Source organism: Homo sapiens, chromosome 20, assembly GCF_000001405.40.
Source record: "Homo sapiens chromosome 20, GRCh38.p14 Primary Assembly".
Classification (NCBI taxonomy): Eukaryota; Metazoa; Chordata; class Mammalia; order Primates; family Hominidae; genus Homo; species Homo sapiens.
Window position 1 is genome coordinate 15,052,246 of NC_000020.11, and position 25,086 is coordinate 15,077,331.

A 25,086-nucleotide genomic window follows, 5' to 3' on the forward strand; every position below is an offset into this window, starting at 1 on the left:
CTATCTTTGTGTTCTCTGTGCCTAGTGTGATGGGTGGCATATACAGGCATCGCTTGTTTTATTGTGTTTTGCTTTATTGTGCTTTGCAGATATTGTGTCTTTTTACAAATTGAAGGTTTGTGGCAACCTTGTATTGAGCAAGCCTATTGGCACCACTTTTTAAAGAGCATGTGCTCACTTTGTGCTCCTGTGTCACATTTTGATAATTCTCTCAATATCTCAAACTTTTTTGTTATTCTTATCTATTTTATAGTGATCCGTAGTCAGTGATCTTTGACATTACTATTGTCATTGTTTTGGGGTGCCACAAACTGTGCTCATAAAAGGTCACAAACTTAATTAATCAATGTGTGTGCTCCGACTGCTCCACTGACCTGTCATTCCCCTGTCTGTCTCCCTCTCCTGGAGCCTCCGTATTCCCTGAGACATGACAATATTGAAACCGAGCCAGTTAATAACTCTACAATGGCCTTTAAGTGTTCAAGTGAGAGAAAGAATTGCAGGTTTATGTTAAATCAAAAGCTAGAAATGATTCGGCTTAGTGCGGAAGGCATGTTGAAAGCAGAGACAGCCAAATGCTAGGCCTCTTGTGCCAAATAGCCAAGTTGTAAATGCAAAGGAAAAGTTCTTGAAGGAAATTAAAACTGCTATTCCAGTGAACATAAGAATGATAAGAAAGTGAAACAGCTTTATGGGAGATATGGAGAAAGTTTTAGTGGTCTGGACAGAAGATCAAACCAGGCACATTTCCTTAAACCAAACCCTAATCCAGAGCAACGCCCTAACTCTCTTCAGTTCTGTGAAGTTTGAGAAAGCTGAAGAAGCTGCAGAAGAAAAATAGGAAGCTAGCAGAGGTCGGTTCCTGAGATTTAATGAAAGAAGCCATCTCTGTAACATAAAAGCGCAGGTAAAGCCGCAAGTGCTGATGTAGAAGCTGCTGTAGCCAGTTATCCAGATCTAGCTAAATTTACTGATGAGCGTGGCTATACCAAATGACAGATTTTCAACGTAGATGAAACAGCGTTATATTGGAAGAAGATGCCACTTGGGATGTTCATCACTAGAAAAGAGAAGTCATAGGTTGGCCTCAAAGCTTCAAAGGGCAGGCTGAGTCTATTGTTAGGAGCTAATGCAGTGGGTGACTTTAAGTTGCAGCCAGTGCTCATTGGCCATTTTGGAATTTCTATCGTCCTTAAGAATTATGCTAAATCTACTCTTCCTGCACTCTATAAAAGGAACAAGAAAGCCTGGATGACAGCACATCTGTTTACAGCATGGTTAACTGAATATTTTAAGCCCACTGTTAAGACCTACTGCTGATTAAAAAAAAAAGATTATTTTCAAAATATTATCGCTTATTAACAATGCATCTGGTAACCCAAGAGCTGTACTGGAGATATACAAAGAGATTGGCATTGATTATGCCTGCTAATACAACATTCCTTCTGCAGCCTATGGATCAAGGAGTAAGTATGACTTTCAAGTCTTATTATTTAAAGAATACATTTTGTAAGGCCATAGCTGCCATAGATAGTGATTCCTCTGACAAATCTGGGCAAAGAACATTGAAAACCTTCTGGAAAGGATTCACCATTCTAGATGTTATTAAAAACATTTGTGGTTTATGGGAGGAGGACAAAATATCAACATGAACAGGAGCTTGGAAGAAATTGATTTCAACTCTTATGGATGACTTTGAGAAGTTTAAGAGTTCAGTGGAGAAAGTAACTGCAAATGTGGTGGAAATAGCAAGAGAACTTGAATTAGAATTGGAGCCTAAAGATGTGACTGAATTGGTGCACTCTTGTGATGAAACTTGAATGGATGAGGGAATTGCTTCTTACGGATGAGCAAAGAAACTGGTTTATTGAGATGGAATCTGCTCCTGATGAAGATGCTGTGAACATTGTTGAAATAACAACAAAGGATTTAGAATATTCCGTAAATTTAATTGATAAAAGTAGTGGCAGGGTTTGAAAGGATTGACCCTGATTTTTAAAATAAATTCTACTGTGTGAAAAATGCTATTAAATAGCATTGCATGCTACAGAGAATTTTTTGTGAAAGAGTCAGTTAATTGGCTAACTTCTTTGTTGTCCTATTTTAAGAAATTGCCACAGCCACCCCAGCCTCAGCAACCACCACCCTGATCAGTCAGCAGCCATCACCATAGAGGCAAGACTCCCCACTATCAAAAAAATTTCAGCTCACTGAAGACTCAGATGATTATTAGTGTTTTTTAGTAATAAAGTATTTTTTAAATTAAGGTAGGTACATTATTTTTTAGATATAATGCTATTGCACCCTTAATCAGCTACAGTATACTACACACACAACTTTGATATATACTAGGGAATAAAAAAATGTGTGTGACTCATTTTATTGTGGTGGTCTGGAATTGAACATGTTAATATTGCTGAGATATGCCTGTATTAGGTGCTCAGTAACAGCACTCCACTGTAGTACAAAATGTCATTTACCACATTACAGAGGGAGAATAGATCACATTTAGCACCTTAGCTTACCTATACCCACAACTTTTTTTTGTTTTGTTTTGAGATGGAGTCTCACTCTGTCACCCAGGCTGGAGTGCAATGGCATGATCTCCGCTCACTGCAACCTCCGTCTCCAGGTTCAAGTGATTCACCTGTCTCAGCCTCCCAAGTAGCTGAGATTACAGGCTTGTGCCGCCACATCTAGCTTTTTTTTTTTTTTTTTTTTGAGATGGAGTTTCACTCTTGTTGCTCAGGCTGGAGTGCAATGGTGTGATCTTGGCTCCCTGCAACCTCTTCCTCCTGGGTTCAAGTGATTCTCCTGCCTCAGCCTCCCAAGTAGCTGGGATTACAGGCGCCTTCCACCACACCCAGCTAATTTTTGTATTTTTAGTAGAGACAGGGTTTCGCCATGTTGGCCAGGCTGGTCTTAAACTCCTGACCTCAAGTGATCCGCCCACCTTGGCCTCTGAAAGTGCTGGGATTATAGGCATGAGCCACCACACCTGGGCTATACCCACAAATTTTGAATAAGATATATAATGTAAATTTTAAGGGCATGGTAATATAATACAAACAAATCATCAGGAGTGAGGATTCCTGGTTTTTAATTCCAATCCAGGACCTAACCGGCTGGCTGTGTTTCAGTTCACCCATCAATCTCTGGGTCTTGGTTTTCTCATCTAAAAGCATGAAGGTTGAGTGAGATTATTGTCTCTGGTTCAGAAGTGGCCTAATGGTTTACAAGAAGACTGAACAGATGTATTTTCTCCCCCTCTTTCTTCAAATGCATTGAAATGACAGTGAAGAATTATAGCGGAGAACAAATACATGACAGGAAGGTAAATTGGGAGGCGGGGATGGGAAGGGAGGATCATCAGACCAGAGTTATGAATTTAATTTTTGATTAAGGAGAATGGATGGAATATTGTAATGGATAATATTAAGTGGAACAAGGTTTAGCCCAGAGTATATTTAGGAGGAGGCTAAATGCAAGGGCTACTGTCAGAATTGCCAGCTTCTGGAAGCTGGATTGGGTGGAGGGACAGAAAGCAACATCTTTTTTTTTTTTTTTTGAGATGGAGTCTCACTCTGTTACCCAGGCTAGAGTGCAGTGGCGCCATCTCGGCTCACTGCCTCCTGAATTCAAGCCATTCTCCTGCCTCAGCCTCCCGAGTAGCTGGGATTATAGGCGCCCACCACCATGCACAGCTAATTTTTGTATTTTTAGTAGAGACAAGGTTTCACCATGTTGGCCAGGCTGGTCTCGAACTCCTGACCTCAAGTGATCCGCCTGCCTCGGCCTCCCAAAGTGCTGGGATTACAGGCGTGAGCCACAGCACCTGGCCGAAAGCAACATCTTTAAAGTCTACTTGACAGCTGCAAGACAGCACCCGACCCCCTCCTCTGTATGCAGACTAACTGGAAGTCTGACATTTATGGCCAGGTAAAACACAGAGCACTCTTCTCTCATGAAATTAGAGGAGCTGAGGGAGCTAAGCATTTCTAAAGTGGATGCCAGCAACCCAAAGATAACTTCGCCTCGTCCTGGCTATTTGTGGGAAACCTCAGTTCAACAGCTTCTTCATCTTTCAGGGTGAAGTGAAATCTGCCAGTTTACATGCCTTGCCCCAAGCACTCAGAGCTCCCGGCGAGACTCCTGTTAACTAGACTGATGAGTTTTTTGACTAAATGCTTCATTTTCCACCCTCCCTTGCAGCTGACCATGGTCATGTGATTAGATTCTGGCCAGCAGTATGTAGACAGCAGTAATGTTCACAGCTGTTAGGTGAAGCCCTTGAAGAGATGGCACGTTTCTTTCCCCTTCCACTCAAACTACTTGGTTCAACAGTAAATAACTTTAACATGGTCCCAATTGTGTAAATTTAGCTGTTTAAAAAAAAAAAGTTTGGAATCAATCAAGGGATAATGTAAGGAAGACTAAATCATGGTTATAGGACAAAATTTAAATATTTTAAATGAAAAAGAAATGGTAAAACTAAAATAACCTGTGAAGAGTCAAATATCATGTGTAACTGATGTAACAGCAAAGAGATTTTTAAGTATATGATTGACATGTATGATCACAACAACAAATAAGAACTAATCATATAACTTTCAGATATCAGGAGAAACAGATAGGAGTGGAGATGGGGATAGTAAAAATAAGTTGTAACTTTGTTAATAGAAGCCAAAATAAATTTAAAAACTAGAAGCCTAAGTTCATCACAAAGAGTTATGTGGTTACCTGACCAACCCGAAACAGAAGCTGTTTAAGATGATTGTCTCTGGAGAATTAAATGGAATTGAGGATGGGATATATGAGTCAGAGACTTGTGTGTCTCATTTTATGCCCTACCATATATATTTTTTAAAAAAGTGTGTGTGATAGCTTTATATGATATCAATAATGACGATAAATTACATAGCCATGCTTTAAAATAATGCCATCCTAATTTTATTAAAGTAACTTTTCTTTACATGATAGGATATATGTACATGTAGTATGTCAATTTAATTCCCTCCATTTTATTCCAGGACTGCCTTCCTTAAGTGTTTTCTGTGTTAGAGGATATTTTCAGGAAAAGCAAGTGTAAAGTAAACATTTCTCCTTGGTTATTAAAAAGTTCTAAAGCCCATCACTAGTTGGGATGCTGTCCTCCCTGTGGTCATCAGAATAATTCAGAGATCAGATTATTCTGGTTTATGTGGCTTGTTCTGGGCAAATGAGCAGGCCAAGCTGCATCTCAAGGGTTGGCCAACTTCTCAGAGGCCATATATGGCCTTCTACTCAGAAGACTTCTCCTGCATATAACTACAAATCCTTTCCCATCCCACCTTGCAACCATGACACTAACCGTATTGCATTATGTATGTTTATGTATATTATGCATTGGGACATAGGTGAGCTCAGCTAGGCCATGACATCCCACAGTTGAGACAGGTTTGCTTAGAAAGCAGGTGTCTGGGTGTGAACATTTGTGTGTCCCATTAACTGCCATTCCCGATCCATTATATCAATTTCTTCCCTTCCCCTGTAGTCTTTCATCCTTGGAGCCTGGCTCAGGGGATTCATGGGACAGAAAAGACAGGATCGGAATCAGAATGTTCTTTTTTTTGATCTCTCACTGCCCCTTACGTTTTATTCAGTGCAGATAGTTTTTCCCTGCCCCTAAATGAAAACTTGATTTGTCTATGACTTTCCTGTTGATCCTGAGATAGTAAAATACCCTGTCGCTTGGCAGACAATCATGGTCTCAATTTAGAATTTATAATATCAAGTCATGTGTGTCAGAATTCTGAAGTTGATTTAAAGTTCACTTTTTCTTTCTTTCACCTTGTCTGAGGCCTGCTATGGACCGGCTGCTCGACGTAGGGGAAGGGCATAGTCTTTCTACTTTCTTTTTATACCAACCATGTCTCCTCCATTAGCTTGAAAACTGAAGTTTGTGATTTTACTAGGGGGAGTCAAAAAAAGGTTAAAGGGGGACAGATGTAGAAAAGTTCTTATTTGAAAGCTGGCTTCATGCTCTTACAGTTTCTTCATAGACTGTCCCCCAACCCCAGCAACCCCAATACCTGGTGATCTGTCCCTTGCAATTCTTTTGACCTGGGGGGTTGTGTTCTATCTTGTCACTCATTTTCTTCTCAATAGGGTTGCCAGATACAATACAGGACTCTCAATCAAACTTCAATATGAGATAAATAATATTGTCTTAGCATAAGTACATCCCAAATAATGTATGGAATATACTTATCCTAAAAAATTATTTGTTGTTTAACTGAAATTCAAATTTAACTAGGCATACTGTATTTCTATTTGCTAAATCTGGCAACTGTAGGTAGAAGATGTTTTTCAGGGATGTCTGCTTTTTTGGGCCAACCAAATCTGGATATTTAATTATGCTATGCTCTACTACTACAACATTATTTTTCCATGTCAAGCACCTTTTCACAAATATAACATCTTAAAAGAGCTTCGTAGAGCAACTGAATATGTTATAAACTTTTCCTTCTTTTTAAAAATGTAACCATCTGTCCAAAACTGTAACTCAAATGTTAAACATTTAGTACATTAAAAAAATTATATCAGTACCTACATGTGAGAGAGTGTTTTAAGTCAACTAGAGCGTCAACTTATAAGAAGCTATGGTTGGAAGGAAGTGACCCTTTCTACATGTCAGTCAGTATCTTCTGAAACAACTGGCAGACAGTAGGTGCTTAATGAACATTTGATGACTGACTCATAGTGTTATCTATGGTTTTATTATGTAAAATTATTTCAAGAATTTCCCCAAATTTAAATTCCAATGTTGCTAATTCATCACTGCTATATCTGTACAGTACTAGAATTACACACACAATGAAAAGAATCCTGGGCCAGACGCAGTGGCTCACACTTGTGATCCCAGCACTTTGGGAGGCTGAGGCAGGCGGATCACCTGAGGTCAGTCTGGCCAACATGGTGAAAACCATGTCTCTACTAAAAATACACAAATTAGCTGGGTGTGGTGGCGCATGCCTGTAATCACAGCTACTCAGGAGGCTGAGGCATGAGAATAGCTTGAGCCCAGGAGGTGGAGGCTGCAGTGAACCGAGATCACACCACTGCACTCCAGCCTGGGAGACAGAGCAAGACTTTGTCTCAAAAAAAAAGAATAGAAAAAGAAAAAAAAAGAAAAGAATTCTGGATGCACATTATGATTAAGTGGATCTCAGCAACTGATGTCTTCTGAGATGGGTTGTGAATATTTAATAACAGGGATTATTAGAACAAACTATTGCTTTCCTTATGGGGGCAGTAGAATTTTGTTTCTTTCAGGACCATTAAAGAGACAGCTGTGCCAGAGAAAGGACTAGTTTATCCCTTCTTTTCAATTCCATCAGGCCTGTTCTGAGCCAAATCCATTCCAATCAGTTTGACTCATTATTCTTCAAGATGGAAAGCTGGATATTTTTACCCAACATATAGGAATTTCATGTGACTTCTCAAATTCATACAAAACACTTGCAAAAGAGAACAGAATTTTTTAAGAGAAACTTTTAAAGCTCCTTGCCTCTAACATCACTTTCTTAGCTAGCCAATTTCATGTAGCCAAGGAGGTAAATGGATGTAGCTAAGTAATTTCCTTTCAATAAATTGAAATAAAGATTCCCTAAAGCTTGCTGTATACTACTAGAAGTCAGAAAAAGAAGATGACACTAGAAATAGTAAAGTATCTTCCTATCTGCTACAGATTAGAGGCAAATATAAATATGACCGCTGCCATCTCCCCCCAACAACAGTGCAAAATATTCTGGTACAAATATGTGAAGGAAAAGGCTAACACATGCATATACAAAATGCCATTTGATAGCATTCGTGTTACACCCTTGGGAAGGAGATTGCTAGCCTTGCTGTCCCTAATTCAGTTGTAAAGAAATTGTATATAACGTTTCAAGTTGGTTAAGCTGGAATTCCATTTCCAAGAATCCCCTGCCCTGTGTGATTCTGGTTGCGTTGGCTAAAAGAAGAGTTTTGAAGGTTGAAGTGAAGCAGCAACCATTCCTCTCTGAAGGTTGTCACAGTTCAATGTGGTGACAGTCGCAGAGATGCTGGCAAGTTCTGGCTTGATCTTACTCTCCTCCACCCTGCGTCTTGCTCTTCTTTCTACCTGCTTTCCCCGTTTACCAAGCACGGCCCAAGACCCAGCACCACAGGCTTGACTGCAGACCCACAGAGGCAACAGCCTCGGGGCATTTCCCTCTCTATGAACCTTCCCTTCATGCTTCTCTTGCATGGCTGGGCACCCTTGGCTTCTCAGATTGACTGGATGGTGACTTCCCCCATCTTCCAACTTTCCCCCAGCGCCTTCATTTCCCCAGCCTTTCCCACAACTGTATAAAGTCTGCTAGCTGTAACAAATCCCTTCTCCCATGGCTTCATGTGCCAAAGGTCACTGAGGATTACTGAAGCCCAGTTTCTCTGGACATCAAAGTTCTCATTTAGAACAAAGCTGCCATCAAAGTGTCTAGCTCTGCATTATGCAATAGACTGTGCCCTTGCTAAAGGTAAACTTGATGTGACTGCATTTGGATGTAACAGCCAAATATACACTAGCAGTATACCCATGAGTAATAGGAACTTCTTGAGAATAACAATCCCATCTGAGAGAAAAGCTCATACACAATGAAGCCGGCTCAGGAAGCTTAGCCTCATTACAATGCCGTGATTTTTAACTTGTGTGGGGGTGTTGCTGGTAAAATTGAGTAGCAGGCACCCTGTATGGGTGAAAGCTCAGAGAAGTTAATTCAATAAAAGTCAAGATGGTATGAAATTGCTGATGAGGGGGGACAGAATGATTTTACAGCATGTATTTTAAAAGGCCCTAATGCTTGTGATAGTGTATGCTCAGATATCTGGATTATTTCCTTCTTTGGACCACTACCATCAACTTTGAAGACAACCCTCATTTCTCAATGTGCAGGAGCTGTCTTGCCCTGCCCACTCCCTCCGTACTCACCTGTAAATGCTGCCTCCTAGAATAGCTGTGATCCTGCCTAAGGGCTTTTGTCAGGCAGCAGGAACCTTTCACCCACATGAGCAAAACAGAAATGCTGGAGTGTTCATGCCCTTGGTGGCATCACTCAATAACAATAAGGAATCAGTGGATACCTACCCGAGTGTGTGCCCTAGTCTGTCTCCCCAAGCTCTTCAGTGGGTTTGAGCTCTAGTAGCCTGCAGTGGTAATGCACGTGATAATGCACCCTGTTTTAGCTGCTCTCCCTTCCCTGTCTCACTTTCCCACTCCCGTGCTGATATTTCCTGGGATCTGCCTCCTAATAAACCACTTGCATGTGAGTCTGTGTCTCCAAGCCTGCTTCTGAGGGATTAAAACTAATGCCTTCTCCATGGCTCTTAGCCAGGGATGCTTCTTCCTGGCTATTTGTTCTCATTAAGGATTCGTTTAGGTTAAAATTTGTATTGGGTAAAAAGAGAAGGGGAAGGGGCTTTGCAGGTAAAGCAAAGATGTCTGATGATAAAGTGTACTATGATACTAAATTATAGATTTCCCTGGAAGCCTCCAAATGAATTTTGGGTCTCAGAGAGAGTTATGAGACCCGGAGGATGGTAGGAAGGGGCCTGTCTCTCTCTTTCTAAGCCCAGTGAGAGGGACTTCAACAAGACTCTTTGGGGAGCTTGATATGCACCTCTACAGGTGGGGAGACACGATGTTCTGGTGCCTGCCACCTCTCTAGAGAAGCTGAGAGTTAGAGGAGAGCAGGCAGCTTGTTGCTCTGAAGGCAGAGCAAGGGCAGATACTGCAGCCTTGGGCTTGCCCTGGGTCCTAGTGGTCACTTGCTAACATACCTTATATTTGCTGATGAAGAATGGGGGAGTGCTTCTAGTGGAAAGGAATTTGGCCTTGTGCGTGAGAGAGAGAGGGAGTGTGCATGTTCTCTTAGATCCTGAAAATAGGTAAACAGCCTCAGGAGAAAGAGGCTGGAGCAAATAGCTGCATTTCCAGGTGTTGAGAAATAGGATGGCTGAATTTAACAAAAATACAATATGCCCAGTTAAATTTAAATTTTAGTTGAGCAATGATTTGTTTTGAAAGTATAAGTAGATCCCATGCACTGACTGGGATGTACTTACGTAAAAATTATTATTTGTTGTTCAGGTGAAATTCAAATTTACCTAGACATCCTGTATTTTATCTGGCAACTCTGCTTCCAAACCGCCTCCATTTCCCAGCAGGACTAGAAGGAAGGTTCTGTAATTGTGAAAATGAAGTACTTATCATGATACCTGTAAAAAAAAAAAATCCTTGGAGTAGAAAGTGAAGGTTTTGCTGTGCTCCCGAACTGAGCTAAAGTGTTAATAAAAACTTAATGCTCAACTTAATTAATTGTTTTTTCTTTTAACTAATTAATCTATTGATCACATATTTACTGAGTGAATACTATAGGTCAGACATAGTTCCAAGCACTAGGCACACAACAGTGAACAAAGCAGATCAAGTTCTTGACCTCACAGAGCTTTGATTCTAGTGATGTCTGTACGTGGCAATCCGAATAGAACTTGGGACCAAGGAGGCCTGCAGAGTTTTGAAGCAGGTGATGGTTCCTGCCTTAGCTCTTGCAATTCTTGCCTCCTGCACTGGTGTCCAAAACTCCCCAGGGACACCATCAAGAGGAAAACCTCCATTATTGCCAGCACTGCTCGGCCTTGCTAAGATCTGTCTGCAGATGGGATTTGGGGACAATATGACTGCAGACTGCTCAGCTAGACCTGGTGCTATATATTTCCTTCATACCATACTTCATTTCCAAAGGGATTCGAAGCAGCAAACTCATGCAGCTTTATCTGCTTCACTCACTCATTCATTCGCTTCATTCAGTCAAAAAAGAGATGAGTAAGGCATGGCTCCCAGCTCACAGGGCCATGAACCATGATACGCTGGAGTAAAGGAAGGACAAGGCCCTCAAAGCAAGAAGCTACCGACTCTGGGAACTGCAAATTGCAATGTCATCATATATGATGCTGTCAAGAAAAAACAAATTAAGGAGAAACAGGAAATGCTTCAACTCCCTCTCCTATAATTCAATTACAATTTTGCTTCCTGCTTCTTTTCCTAACCCTTTCTACCACACTCTGTGAGGGTCATAGAATGAAAACAAATATAAATACTGAATTGCAACCACATGCAGATAGCACATGTAATAAAAGAAGCCTGCCTATCATGGAATTTAACATGACTGGCTGGGGGGAATCAGGCTCTTTGTCCTTTTAAACTTGGCTCATATTTTAAATGACGTTCCTCTGGGTACATCATGTTTTAGTCTAAAAGAAAAGTATCAGGCCAGTTTGTATACACATTCAAATAAATATACTTTACCAGGTAGGTGTCTGCATTAACCTAGGGAATGTATGAGTGTGTGAGTGTTTAGCCAGCCACACATATTGTGTGTATACTCACCATGTGTGTATAGAAAATGCTACCTGCATGGGTTGACAATTTGATGTTTCCTACCTTATGCTAACTATTCCCCTTTGGCCAGTTTTTTCCCCAACATCAGTAATATTATTCAGTTATTCCCTAAGGGGTGAAAATTAAGTGCTATTCTGTGTGCAGAGTAGGGGAAATTAAATCTAGCTGCAACAAGTTGGAGCTGCTCCATAATCCATAATCTGTAGCCATGATTTGATTTCCAAAATTTACTGCTGGAAATAAGGTTAATAGTCCCCACATGTTTTCGTTAAGTCTAAATTTCACCTCAATTATAGGTGAGGAAACTGAGACTCAGAGAAGCTAAAGCCCCCAGTTTAAGTTTGAAGGGCTGGTTAGTCACAGTCTCTCGCACCAGTGATTGAGTGACTACAGCCTGCTGCCCCCTTTTTTTAGAGGGTGGGTGTATACATCAAAGCCTGCATGTGTTAAATACATAGGAGGGGACCAATCTGAGTTGGTACGTGACCCCTTCACCAAAGTAGGAACTGAGAAAATGACCTTCTCCAGCTCACCTCTCTAGAAGGAGGGGCACTGATGATCTTTGGAGATGATTTTAGAGGCAAAGCTAGAAGCTGCAAGGCCACCCCAGAACCACCAAGCCCAGTGGAACGTCAGACGGCATCTGCTCAGATGCTGATCTTGTGTAATTCATAAATCACTGAGCCTGTTGACTCGGACTTCTGATGGGCTACATAAGCCCACCAAGGTATGTTTTAACTCTGCTGTCTTTGCCTTTCTAATATTTCACATTGAAGTTCTTATAATGCAGAATCTCCCTGAAACTTCTAATGGGTTTCATTCTTTTGTTGACTCTTCATTCATTCAGGTAAGTAACTTCGCATTTTTCATTTGTACTGGTATCAGCCATTTCCTAAACATTTTAATGTTGCTGGTTTTGAATAATAGCCACTCCACGCATAGCAATCTCAACCTCCCGCTCCACTCAGGCAAATGCAGCCATCCATTTACAGATGTGCATAGGAGCTCTTTGCTTATCAGGGCTGCCGTTTTCACAAGATCCCAAGCCTTATAGATTCCATTACACTCCGCAAAACGGCACACTTGGTCTTTGTGTTGTATGCACTTATGTCCAAGTTTTATGATTATTCAAGAGAGTGGTCGTGGCATAAGAACTCTGAATTAAGCCTGAGTGATGCTGGCATGCCAGAGGCAAGTGTGAGCACAGATCTTGACAGCCAAATAGCACATCCTGTTCCATATCACATAAAGTTAAGTGTGCACACCATATGAATAGCCACGTACATTATCTTATACTGCAGTTCAGAGTAGTTGGTAAACGGAAAAAAAAAGATTCTCTGTTTTCCTCATTTCTATGCATGATGACAGATCTTGACAGTATCTTGGAGGGTTGCTAATTTAGTTTCAGGCAGAACCATGCAATTCCTATTGTCTCAGCATGACTAGACCACCTCTTCAGATTTCATAATGGGAAAATAACACAATATCTGCATTTGTTCTTCTGGCAGCCAGCTAGTGGTGTGATTGCATTGTTTTCTCAATCAAGAAGTACCATTATTTCAGATAGACTGGTACATGGAAGAAGAAAAAAAGTACCATTGCTTTTGTCTTCATTGAGTTACATCAGGATGATTTTCTTTGGTAGTGTTATATTAGAGAAAGTAGGCAGGGCGCGGTGGCTCACGCCTGTAATCCCAGCACTTTGGGAGGCCGAGGCGGGCGGATCACAAGGTCAGGAGATCGAGACCATCCTGACTAACACAGTGAAACCCCATCTCTACTAAAAATACAAAAAATTAGCCAGGCTCGGTGGCAGCGGCTGTAGTCCCAGCTACTCCGGAGGCTGAGGCAGGAGAATGGCGTGAACCTGGGAGGCGGAGCTTGCAGTGAGCCAAGATCGCGCCACTGCACTCTAGCCTGGGCGACAGAGCGAGACTCCGTCTCCAAAAAAAAAAAAAAAAAGAGAAAGTAATTTACAGTTTTATTTTCTCTCATTTAAGCATCTAACATTATTATATGCCTAACAGAGTATATTTATCTCATAAAAGTTGCTGAGAATTCTTTTAAATTAAATTTACTCCGTAGTTGCATTATATTATAAAATAAGAGATGTATTCCAGGGAAGAAAGTTTTAAGTAATACTTTTATATTAATCAACTGTTGTTGCATAAGAAACAACCACAAAAAGTTTATTGGCATAAATCAGTAAACATTATTTTTCATCCACACATCTGTCATCCAGCTGATGTGGCTCTGCTCCAGGCTTGGGGGTTGAGTTTAGGTTTGCTCCACATTCTGGGGCCCAGCTTGGGAGTATTCTATCCGGTGGCTACCTAGGGCAGTGTTCTCATGTTAGAGGTCGGAAGCTCCCAGAGGGGAAAGTGAAAACAAGAGCTGCTTTCTTTTTTTTTTTTATTTTTAATTTTTATTTTTATTTTTTGAGATGGAGTCTCGCTCTGTCACCCAGGCTGGAGTACAATGGTACGATCTCAGCTCACTGCAACTTCCGCCTCCTGGGTTCAAGTGATTCTCCTGCCTCAGCCTCTGGAGTAGCTGGGATTACAGGCGCCCACCACAACGCCTGGCTAATTTTTTTGTATTTTTAGTAGAGACACGGTTTCACCATGTTGGCCAGGCTGGTCTCGAACTCCCGACCTCAGGTGATCTGCCCACCTCGGCCTCCCAAACTGCTGGGATGGCAGGTGTGAGCCACTGCGCCCAGCCAACAAGAGCTGCTGCTTAAGACCTAAGCTCAGAATAGGCCCAATGTTACTGTTGCCTACATTCGTTCGCCAAATCAAGTCATACGACAAAAACCAACATCAATGACACTAGGAAAAATACTTATCCCATGATTACACCTTCAGCTTTAAAAGTGCAGTGAACTCGGCCAGGAGCAGTGGCTCATGCCTGTAACCCCAGCATTTTGGGAGGCCGAGGCGGGTAGATTGACTGAGCTAGGGAGTTCAAAACCAGCCTGGCCAACATGGTGAAACCCCATCTCTACTAAAAATACAAAAAAATTATGCAGGCGTGGTGGTGGGCACCTGTAATTCCAGCTACTCAGGAGGCTGAGGCAGGAGAATCGCTTGAACCCGCAAGGCGGAGGTTGCAGTGAGCCAAGACTGCACCACTGCACTCCATCCTGGGTGACAGAGAGAGACTCTGTCTCGAAAAAAAAAAAAAAAGGAATAAGTGCAGCGAACTACAGGCTCTTATTTAAATCTAAGTTTTAAATTCGTGCAATATGAATAACAATCATATACTACAGTCAAATTTCAAAACAAAAAAAACACAAAGAATGGAAAAAAAGTAACCAGTTTGGCAGGCTGTTTCTCATTTTATCCCATTTCACATTTTATTTCCTATTTTATCTTCTAAGAGTCAGAAACAAATTCCGATAATGTAGAGAAAGTTCATTAGCAATTTTATTAAGAAATGCAACTAATTTTTAAGTGCTGTGTTAAACCAACAAATGCTCAAATTCATTTACATTAATAAGATTACACTATTTTAAATTTTCACAGGCAAATGTATTGAAATATAATGTCATGGCTTACCCTAATGCTTATTATTATATGTATAAAGACTTTAAAAATAATTGATTTTGATATTGTTTGTATTTTGTTTTGTTTTGTTTGTTTGTTTGTTTGTTTTTGAGATGGAGTCTCACTCTGTTGCTCAGGCTGGAGTGCAGTGGTGCGATCTAAGCTCACTGCAACCTTTGTCTCCCAGGTTCGAGTGATTCTCCTGCCTCAGCCACCAGAGTAGCTGGGATTACAGGTGTGGGCCACCACACCCGGCTAATTTTTGTATCTTTAGTAGAGATGGGGTTTCACCATGTTGTCTAGGCTGGTCTCCAACTCCTGATCTCAAGTGATCCACCTGCCTCAGCCTCCCAAAGTGCTGGGATTACAGGTGTGAGCCACCATGCCCAGCCTGAAATTAATTATTAAGAGCTCTTTCAGATGACTATGTTTTTCAAGCTTTGTATAAACATGGCATACACATTGTATGTAGATATATTGATTTATCAATTTATTGATTGGTGATAAAGATTGGATGGGGGTGGGGAATGGTTATGTGTGAGAAAATAATGTTTGTTAACTACTCTCTACAAATTGGTTTTATAATACATATTTTACCTAATGAGAATGTGGAGTCTCAAGGAACACTTGCCCAGAGAATTTCAGTTAACAAATAATAAATGTATCTCATTTTGTTCACATAGATAAAACCAGTAGTGAAGCTTATATTCTTCTCATGCACCATACTGCTATTCTGGTTGACACAGCTGCAAGAAGGTTAATTTCGTTCCTCTTTTTCTTCCTTAGCAATTTTTTTAAATAACAAAAGTTAAATTTTATCTGGGCATCTTCTCTTTTGAGATACACTGGATGGATATTTCTCTGCCACCCAGAGGATAAAAGATTATAATTTTCTTCAGTCTTCTGATAATATCATGCATTTTTTCATATGCTTTTGGGGATTGCAGATGGTCACTGAATAATTGTTATTGTATTATTACATATTTTAGAAGTCATAATTGTAATGACTTCTAAAATATATCACATGACTACTTGTGATTGACTTCAGCATACATTGTATATAGTTTAAAAAATATTCTCAAAATACCAATTGGTCATGATTTTGAACCATTGGTGTGCACAGAACAAATGCAGAAATGTTTTGTGAACAAATGATATAGTTTGGATATTTCTCCCCTCCAAGTCTCATATAGAAATGTGACCCCCCGTGTTGGAGGTGGGGGTCTAGTGGGAGGTGTTTGGGTCATGGGAGAAGATCCTTCATGAATGGTTTGGTGCCCTCCTCATAGTGTTAGTTCATGTGAGAGCTAGTTGTTTAAAAGAGCCTAGCACCTCCTTCCCTCTCTCTTGCTCCCTCATGCCATGTGACATGCTGGCTCCCCCTTTGCCTTCCACTATGGTTGTAAGCTTCCTGAAGCTTCATCAGAAGCTGAGTAGATATGGGTGTGATGTTTGTACAGCCAGCAGAACTGTCAGCCAAATACACCTGTTTTCTTTATAAATTACCCAGCCTTAGGCATTCCTTTATAGCAATAAAAAATGGACTGACACAGAAAATTGTTACTGAGAAGTGGGGCATTGCTGTAAAGATACTTGAAGATGTGAAAGTGGCTTTGAAACTGGTAATGGGCACAGGGTTGGAAGAGTTTGGAAGGCTTAGAAAAAGACAGGAAGACAAGGGAAAGTTTGCAACTTCTTAGAGACTTGTTAAGTGGTTGTGACCAAAATGCCAATAGAAATATGGACAGTGAAGGCCAGGCTGACTCAGATAAAAATGAGGAAGTTATTGGGAACTAGTGTAGAGAACAAGGTAGTGCTAGTACCTTGTTGTGTACTAGCAAAGGGCTTGGCTGCATTGCATCCACGTCTGAGGCCTCTGTGGAAGGTGAAACTTAAGAGTGATGACTTAGGATATTTGGAAGAAGAAATCTCTAAGCAGCAAAGCATTCAAGATGTGGCATGGCTGCTTCTGAAAACCTATACATAGATATGGGAGCAAAAAAATGACTTAAAGTTGGAACTTACAATTCAATGAGAAGCAGAGCTTAAAAATTTGGAAAATTCACAACTTGACCCTGTGGTAGAAAAGGAAAAAGCATTTTCAGGAGAGACATTCAAGTGGGCTTCAGAGCAACCACTTGCTAGAGAGATTTGCATGACTGAAAGGGAGCCAAGTGCTAATATTCAAGACAATGAATAAAAGGCCTTGAAGGCATTTCAGAACTCTAGGCTGCCCTTCCCATCACAGGCCCAGAGACCTAGAAGGAAGGAAGGAATTGATTAGGGGGCCAGGCCCAAGGCTCCACTTTCCTTGCAGCCTCAGGACACTGCTCCCTGGATCCACGCTAGCAGTGCTGTAGCTTCAGCTATAAGGGCCCCAGGTACAGCTTGGGCTGCCACTGTGGAGAGCACAAGCCATAAGCCTTGGTGAGTTCCATGTGTTGCGAAGTCTGCAAGCATGCAGAATGCAAGAGTGAAGGAGGCTTGGTAGCTTCCACCTACATTTCAGAGACTGTATGGGAAAGCGTGGGTGCCCAGGCAGTAGCCTGCTACAGAGGCGGAGCCCCTGCAGAGAGTCTCTACTAGGTCAATGTCTAGGGGAAAATGTGGGGTTGGAGCTACCATACAGAATCCCCACTGGGGCACTGCCTAGTGGAGCTGTGGGAAGGGGTTGCCACCCTCTAGACAAGAGAATGGTAGAGTCACCAGCAGCTTGCACCTTGAGCCTGGAAAAGCCACAGGCACTCAACTCCAACCTTTGAAAGCAGTCACAGAGCACAGAGGCTGCACCCTACAAAGCTACAGGGGCAGGGCTTCCCAAGGCCTTGGGAGCCCACCCCTCACACCAGTGTGCTTAGGATGAAGAGCCTGGAGTCAAGGATTATGCTGGAGCTGTAAGATTTAGTGTCTGCCCTGCTGTTGCCTCATTCTTTTGGCTGATTCCTCCCTGTAGTAATGGGATTGTTTACCCAATGCCAGTTCTACCATTGTATCTTGGAAGTAAATAACTTATTTTTGATTTTACACGTTCCTAGGTAGAAGGAACTTGCCATGGGTTTCAGATGAGGGTTTGGACTTTTGAGTTAATGCTGGAATGAGTTAAGACTTTGGGGAACTACTGGGAAGGGATGGTTGTATTTTACAGTGTGAGAAGGACATGAAATTTGGGGGATCAGGGGTAGAATGATATGGCCTGGATATCTGTCCTCTCCAAATCTCATGTTGAAATGTAATCCTCAATTTTGGAGGCAAGGTCTAGTGGGGAGTGTTTAGCTCTTAGGGAGCAGATCCCTCATGAATGGCTTGGTGTCCTCCCCATAGTTTCAGTTCATGCAAGAGTTACTTGTTTAAAAGAGCCTGGCACCTCCTCCGCTCTCTTTTGCTCCTTCTCATCATGTGACACACTGGCTCCCCCTTTGCCTTCTATCATGATTACAAGCTTCCTGCAGCCTCACCAGAAGCTGAATGGATCGTGGTACCATGCTTGCACAGCTGCAGAACCATGAGCCAAAGAAACCTTTTCTTTATAAGTTACCCAGTCTCAGGTATTCCTTTATGGCAACTCAAAACAGATTAACACCAAAAAGGAATGGAGACATCTACCCGCTTTTCACTAGGGTAAACTTGAATACCTTTGTTTTGTTTTGTTTTTGGAAAAAAAAAAAAACCCAAAAAAGTCTTAAATTATTACGAATAGCAAAAATTAGTGATCAGCAAGCAACCAACTTGTGGTTAAGTAATAAAATTTGTAAGACTATTATAGCCAGGAATTCTGTTTTTGAAAAATGACTTTAACAATGGGCTTTGGCTCTATTTTGAATCTTAAAGAGGATAAGAAATATGAGCTCCCAATATACAATGGAATTTAAATACAACAATTGTGGAAGTTTTGTACAGTTGTTGATGGATTACCCACAGCTGACATGCTTTTACTTGGTCAGAAGATAAAAAGAATAGAAACATTTAGGCCATTCGTGTGTTGTTAAAGCAAGTTGGAATTCAAGAAGACATCTGATTCCACTAAATCAGCGAGGAGTTTTCAAAAAGCAGATGGCATTTTAAGCCAAAAGACAGTCCTTTGAAGGATCTTGAGACATGTAATTTATCTGAATACATGTTGCTCTCATCTGTGATTTCCTGGAGGATAGGAACTATGTCAGATTCATGCCTTCCTTCCCTAGCTCAGTGACTGGAAAGCAGAGGGGCTCAATAAATGTCTTAAGAGAAAAGAGAGGAGAAAATTTTGTAATGCTATTTGAAACTTTATGCAAAATATTTGCTCAAGTATTTCACACTCAGTACTTTTTACTTTTTGCCTATATGCATACTAAAGTACAAATAAATTATTGCTGATTGTGTTGATTTTGCCCATTAAATTTGCATTGTATTTATTTTAAACAAGTCTATGTTTTTAGACATTAAGATAAAAATGCTACCTTATAGAAAAACAATGAACAGTGCTGTAAATTAAAATTAGCACCTTAGAAACAAAACTAAATAGATTTCAGGGTTTGTTGTTCTGAAGTAAATTCTGTGCTGCAAATTTTGAATCCTAAAATTCAGAACATAATTTTTAGGCTCCATAAAACATGTTTGTGGTTGGCTGCTTTATAGTAACATATTTTTGTATGCATTTGGCTTCATTTCTTCTATTATTGTGATTCTCATTCCACTTGTTACCTAGCAGTTGCCTTTTCTACTGTTTAAAAAATTTTTTAAGGGGGAAATGTGTTTTGTAACTCAGAAAAACATAATGTAAGATTTCTCAAAATATATGATTTTAAAACAAGGACAATAAATGATTTCCTCTTAAAACTGACATTACTTAAATTACTAACACAATAATATCTTTAAATGTCTACATACATGTTAAATGGATTGTAATGTCTTTTGAAAAATATTTACATATTTTGTTTCAGAGACTAAGTATACTCAATTTATCTACAATGATTCCTTTGTTGACAAATAGTTACAGGCGTGACTGATTTGATAGTTCATTGGAAGAAGATCTTCGGTATCTTTCATAAAGCTTAGAATTGGCCTGGTATTTAAAAAATAATTCATGTTGGAGTAATTTTTGTATGGTTAATCCATTTAAAGACAGACAGGATAATTCATTTTTCACTGAATCATCTAGATAGTAGAGGCCTATAATTGATGATGGCAAGAATAAGAATATTTAACCTTTGGGTGAACCAAATGAATAAAACTCTTTGCAACAATTCTTATGGGTAGAAACAGTATTTTTCTGACTCTAGTTTAGTATCTTGGGCTTCTTCCCAACTGTGAGCTTATGGAGAAATGATTCCTCTAAGGCAGAATATTACTTAGGTTATTGTCCTATTATTTCTTTCCTTTCCATCAATTACTTCCAGTCTAGCAGCTTTTAGCAAGATTCTTGTTTGAGGTTAGCCATCCTGCTATATAATCTGGAGTCTAGGAAAAGTACATGTCATTTTACCTGGATATTTTACTCAATATTAAACATTTATGTTCTAAGTTTGAATATCCCCCTTTCCACATCTAAAAAAGAATAAATCAAATAGTAAACCCCATTGCTATAATTTGAATGTGTCCCCCAAAGTTTGTGTGTTGAAAACTTGATCCCCAAAGCAGTGGTGTTGGAAGATGGGGCCTAATAAAAGGTGTTTGGGTCATGGGGGCACCATCCTCATGAATAGGTTAATGTCCTTATCTTATAAGTGGGTTTGTTAGCATGAGAATTGGTTCATCTTCTCTTGCATACTCTCTCTTGCCCTTTCTTTGCCCTTCTGCCATGGGATGATAATATCAAGAAGGCCTCTACCAGAAGCTAGCACCTTGATATTGGACTTTCCAGCCTCTAGAACTGTGAGAAATGAACTTTTTAAAATTATAAATTCCCCAGTCTCTGCTATTGTGTTATAGCAGCAAAAAAATGGACTAAGATACCCATGAAGGAGAAGTGATAATAAAGACAAGCTTAAAGCTATCTATATTTGAAGACTCTTGAAAAACTATGAATATGTCTCCAACTACTATCAAAGATGTTAGTTAGAATATAGATTATAAAAAAATCCCATACCTCAACCATTCTCACTACTAGAAACACATATTACTAAAACCCTGTGGCCTGCCAATTGTAAGGTAATCTTTTAACATAAGAAACTGCATTAATTTTCTATAAACCCAAAGACTTGCACAATTATTTCAGAAGTGTAATTCTCCCAACACACACACACACACACACACACACACACACACACACACACACGTACCACATTTCTTTTCAGTAGCTTGACTATAACTTGGAAAAAATGCTTTAGAGAAATCACTTCAGGATGGTGGAAAAAACAAAGAATCATAATTCTCCTTATGTGTAATCAATAGTAACACTCCATCTCATGTATAAGTTTCATATACTTTCAAGTCCAGCTCTCTGGCTTTGTTCATTTCATTCAACAGGACTGAAACAAAGGTCTTGGCCTCAGTTTTTCACATGAAGATGTTTGCAAAGGAAACAGTATTTTAAAGAGTATTTAATTCACAGAAGCTGACTATAAAAAATAACTAAGAAGCTTCTTTTCTTCCAAGACTTAGTGTTTCCCTTGTTAATGAGACATTTGTCATATAGACTTGTTTACTGCCTTGTTCAGTTTCATAGAAAAAAATGATGTACTTTTAGAATTTGATATAGAAAATATTACCAGAAAAATTATAACAAATGGCATGTTTAGAATTTATAGTCTGCTGAAATACAATTTAGGTCTTTATTTTACTATGAAAATGCAATCAATAGCCAAAATCCAACGTATTCCAGTGATTGAAGTTTATTTGAATACTGTGAAGTTGTGAAATACATATTTGGTCTTCCCTCTGTGTCTTTCTATAAGCTAATGAGTTAGCTGGTGACTGGCAGCCCCTAGGTAGCTTAAGGATGGGGGCTGGTCACAGAAAAGGCCAAAGAAGGCATGATTAGAGGGTTGAGACTTTTCAGCCCCATCCTCAACCTCTGGGGAGTGTAGAGGGGCTGAAGGTTGAGTTGATCAACAGTGGCCAATAATTTAATCAATCATGCGTACCTAATGAAGCTTGTATAAAAACCTGAAAAGACTGGGTTCAGGGAGCTTCCAGATAGCTGAACACCTGAAGACGACTGGAGGGTACCCCCCTGGAAGGGGCTTGGAAGATTGGCTCCTCCCATACTTATTCATTCCTTATCCGTATCTTTTGTAATGTCCTATAAATTGCACCCGAGGAGGAGGTTGTGGGAACCTCGATTTAGAGCTGGTGGTCAGAAGCACAGGTAAAATAACTTGTGCTTTCAACTTACATTTGAAGCCAGGGGGACAGTCTTGTGGGACTGAAACCTGAACCTGTGGTATCTGGCACTATCTCCAGGTAGAAAGTATCAGAACTGAGTTAGAGGACACATAGCTGGTATCCACTGCAGAATTGATTGCTTGCTTGGTGTGGAATGAAAATGCAATGTATTGGAAGCCCCTCTCTCCCCCATATCTGATGTCAGAAGCGTTCTGTGTGATGTGATGTGGTGGGTAGAGAATAGAAAACACACACTTCAGTTTTTACTATATCCTTCCACGTATTTACTGACAGCAGGCATTCATATGGAATGTCAGGCACTGCAAGCGATACACACATCCATAAGACAGCATCTCTTCCATTAAGAATCTTACCAACTCACAAAAGAAAAGAGATATGAATACATGGAAAGGTAAATGGCAATAGAGTATTTAAATAAGTAAGTAGAATTTGAATTTGTCTTTGATAATGGTGAGGAGGTGAAAGGAGTTCTTGAAAGTCTGGAACAAAAATCAAATCAACTTATGAGTGGATAGAAGATGGGTAGGTAATGCTAAAGCCAGTATAGTAACATATGTTAAGTGTAGACTCTAGGTGGGTTCATTGTAAAATTATTTCAGCTTTTCTGTATGTTTGAAATTTTCATTAAAAAATGATGAAAAAAGACGAGCATATAAAGGGAGAGAAGTAAACTACTTTGATGGGCATTTAATTTGATGTAATGGAAAATAAAATACGAAAGGTAAGTTCTAGGAATAATTGTATTTTATTAGTTCTCTGCTTCATTTGGTCAGAAAACTAAAGGCATTTAATGTTAGAGAATAAATTACATTGTGTATCTATCAGCTAATAATAGAATTTCCAACTCAAATTGGCTTATGTATAAGGAAAGTTATTATCGTGCCTAACAGGAAAACCAAAATTAGGACAGACTTCAGGGCTGTTTAAATCAGTTCCTTGTAAATTCTCTGAGGGGTGTAAGCACCCTCTCTGCTGTCTATAACATCATCTTCAATATGAGGCTAGTTTCTATCCACTCAAAAGATGGCTGACAGCAGTCTTCTCTCTTTCCATTGCAAAAAAATGACTGCCTTCATTTTCCCAGTTGCCCTGAGTAAACTCCTCCTTGTGTCTTTCTGTCCTAAATTGATTTAAACCTGCCCAGTTCTGAATCAAGCTCTGGTAAGAGGGTGAGGAAATACAGGCTCATGACTGGCTTAGACTCGTCATGGCAGGGGGCAGCAACACAGTGACCACTGCAGGGTAGAGAAGAGACAAAGACACCCTCCATGAGCGCTGAAGGATAAAGGGTGGGGGAAAGGCATTTGTTCGTAAAAAGTGTAAACCAGGTACTTTTAGGAAAATTTTAGGGGAAGAATATGTTATAAAAGAGAATTATCTTTATGACAGTAACTTTTTTCAATGATTATAAAGGCGATATGTGTTAACTATCAAAACTTCATAAAAGGCGATCAGTTATAACCTTATAATCAAGGTTTATGTTGACATTTCCTTCAAACATTTATTATGTGTGTCTGTGTGAATAAATATATATGTTATATACTTGTTATGATACTGCCTATACAATTTTGTGTTCCACTTGCTTTCCTTACCATTATATCACCAATATTTTTAATGTCCTTGTAATGTATTTACAAATTTTGTTTAAATGGCTGCATATCTTTCCATTACAGAAAAGTACTTCATTTGGGTAAATATTCTTATACGATACAATATTTAAAATAAATCAATTTCTGCTTTGTTATTAACACTGGTATAAATATCTTTATAATAAAACATTGTCTGAATCTCTGATTATTTCCTTAGAAAAGATTTTCAATTAGTATATCATTAAGCCAAACTGTATGAATAGTTTTAATCTCAATACATATTGTCAAATTAAGCTTGTCACATTTTATACTTATAATTGAGTGATGATTCCATGGTTTCTAAGTATTACTGTTATTATCATTACTATTATTTAGCAACTCCCTTTTGGCAGGAACAATATGCTTTCTCACTTTTCAGCTCCAAGGAGGTCTGTAGGAGATATAGCTACAAATATGTTTTCTGTCACTTTTGTTCTTCATTACCATCTTGCTGCATTTCTTCCTTCTTCTTTGGCATTCTTACATTTAAAAAGTAGAGATGGGGACATGTCTCTGTTATTTCTTCTTTTATTTATTTCTAAATCTATTTCTTGTTATTTCTTGATCTAATATCCATACAGGTTTAGGATGTAAGCATTTAAACTTTCATACGTAGAACTCCACATAGCAATGAAGGAAGAAATCAAAGAGTAAATGAATGAATTAGTGAATGAATGCAATGAATGAGAATGCAATATCTGGTAGTTCAGAATGAAATTTTCCTTATCAAGTCCATAAAATTTGCAAATTACTTCATAAAAGTGCTTTATAGGTTTTGGCATTTTAACAATGTTTACAGTGTTTTAGAAGAGACAAAAGATTTCAGTCTTGTGGCAGTTAGCCAGAATAGGGAGCAAATGTGCATGTAATTGCACTATTAAGTTATTAAGGGTGGTAAGAAATTTACACAAAACAGACCCTGAATTGTTTTAAATTCTGTTAGTTGAAAGGTTAACAAAGGAGAAATTATATTCTTTAACTCCTTTTTTTGTTTGTTTGTTTTTAATTCACCTTTATTTTCCACTTGGCCACATTATTTTCTTGTTAAATAAAGAAGAGTTATGAATTTTCTTAATGAGTTAATAATGTAAGCTGAATGTCCACAGGTAAAGGGTCTTATGTT

General features: G+C 39.5%; 1 protein-coding gene across 3 annotated transcripts in view, besides 1 other annotated feature; it reads left to right on the plus strand.

Moving 5' to 3' along the window:
- MACROD2 (mono-ADP ribosylhydrolase 2) overlaps positions 1 to 25,086 on the plus strand; it is a 2,057,682-nt gene that overhangs the window by 1,056,730 nt on the left and 975,866 nt on the right. The window lies entirely within an intron of this gene.
- Positions 5,789 to 5,958: an enhancer, noted in NCBI's record as "experimental_59609 CRE fragment used in MPRA reporter constructs". NCBI's record gives its function as "activates a minimal promoter by MPRAs in K562 erythroleukemia cells, with activity observed for both the introgressed and non-introgressed 20:15038765 variant alleles {active_cell/tissue: K562}" and the evidence as "EXISTENCE:reporter gene assay evidence [ECO:0000049][PMID:34662402]".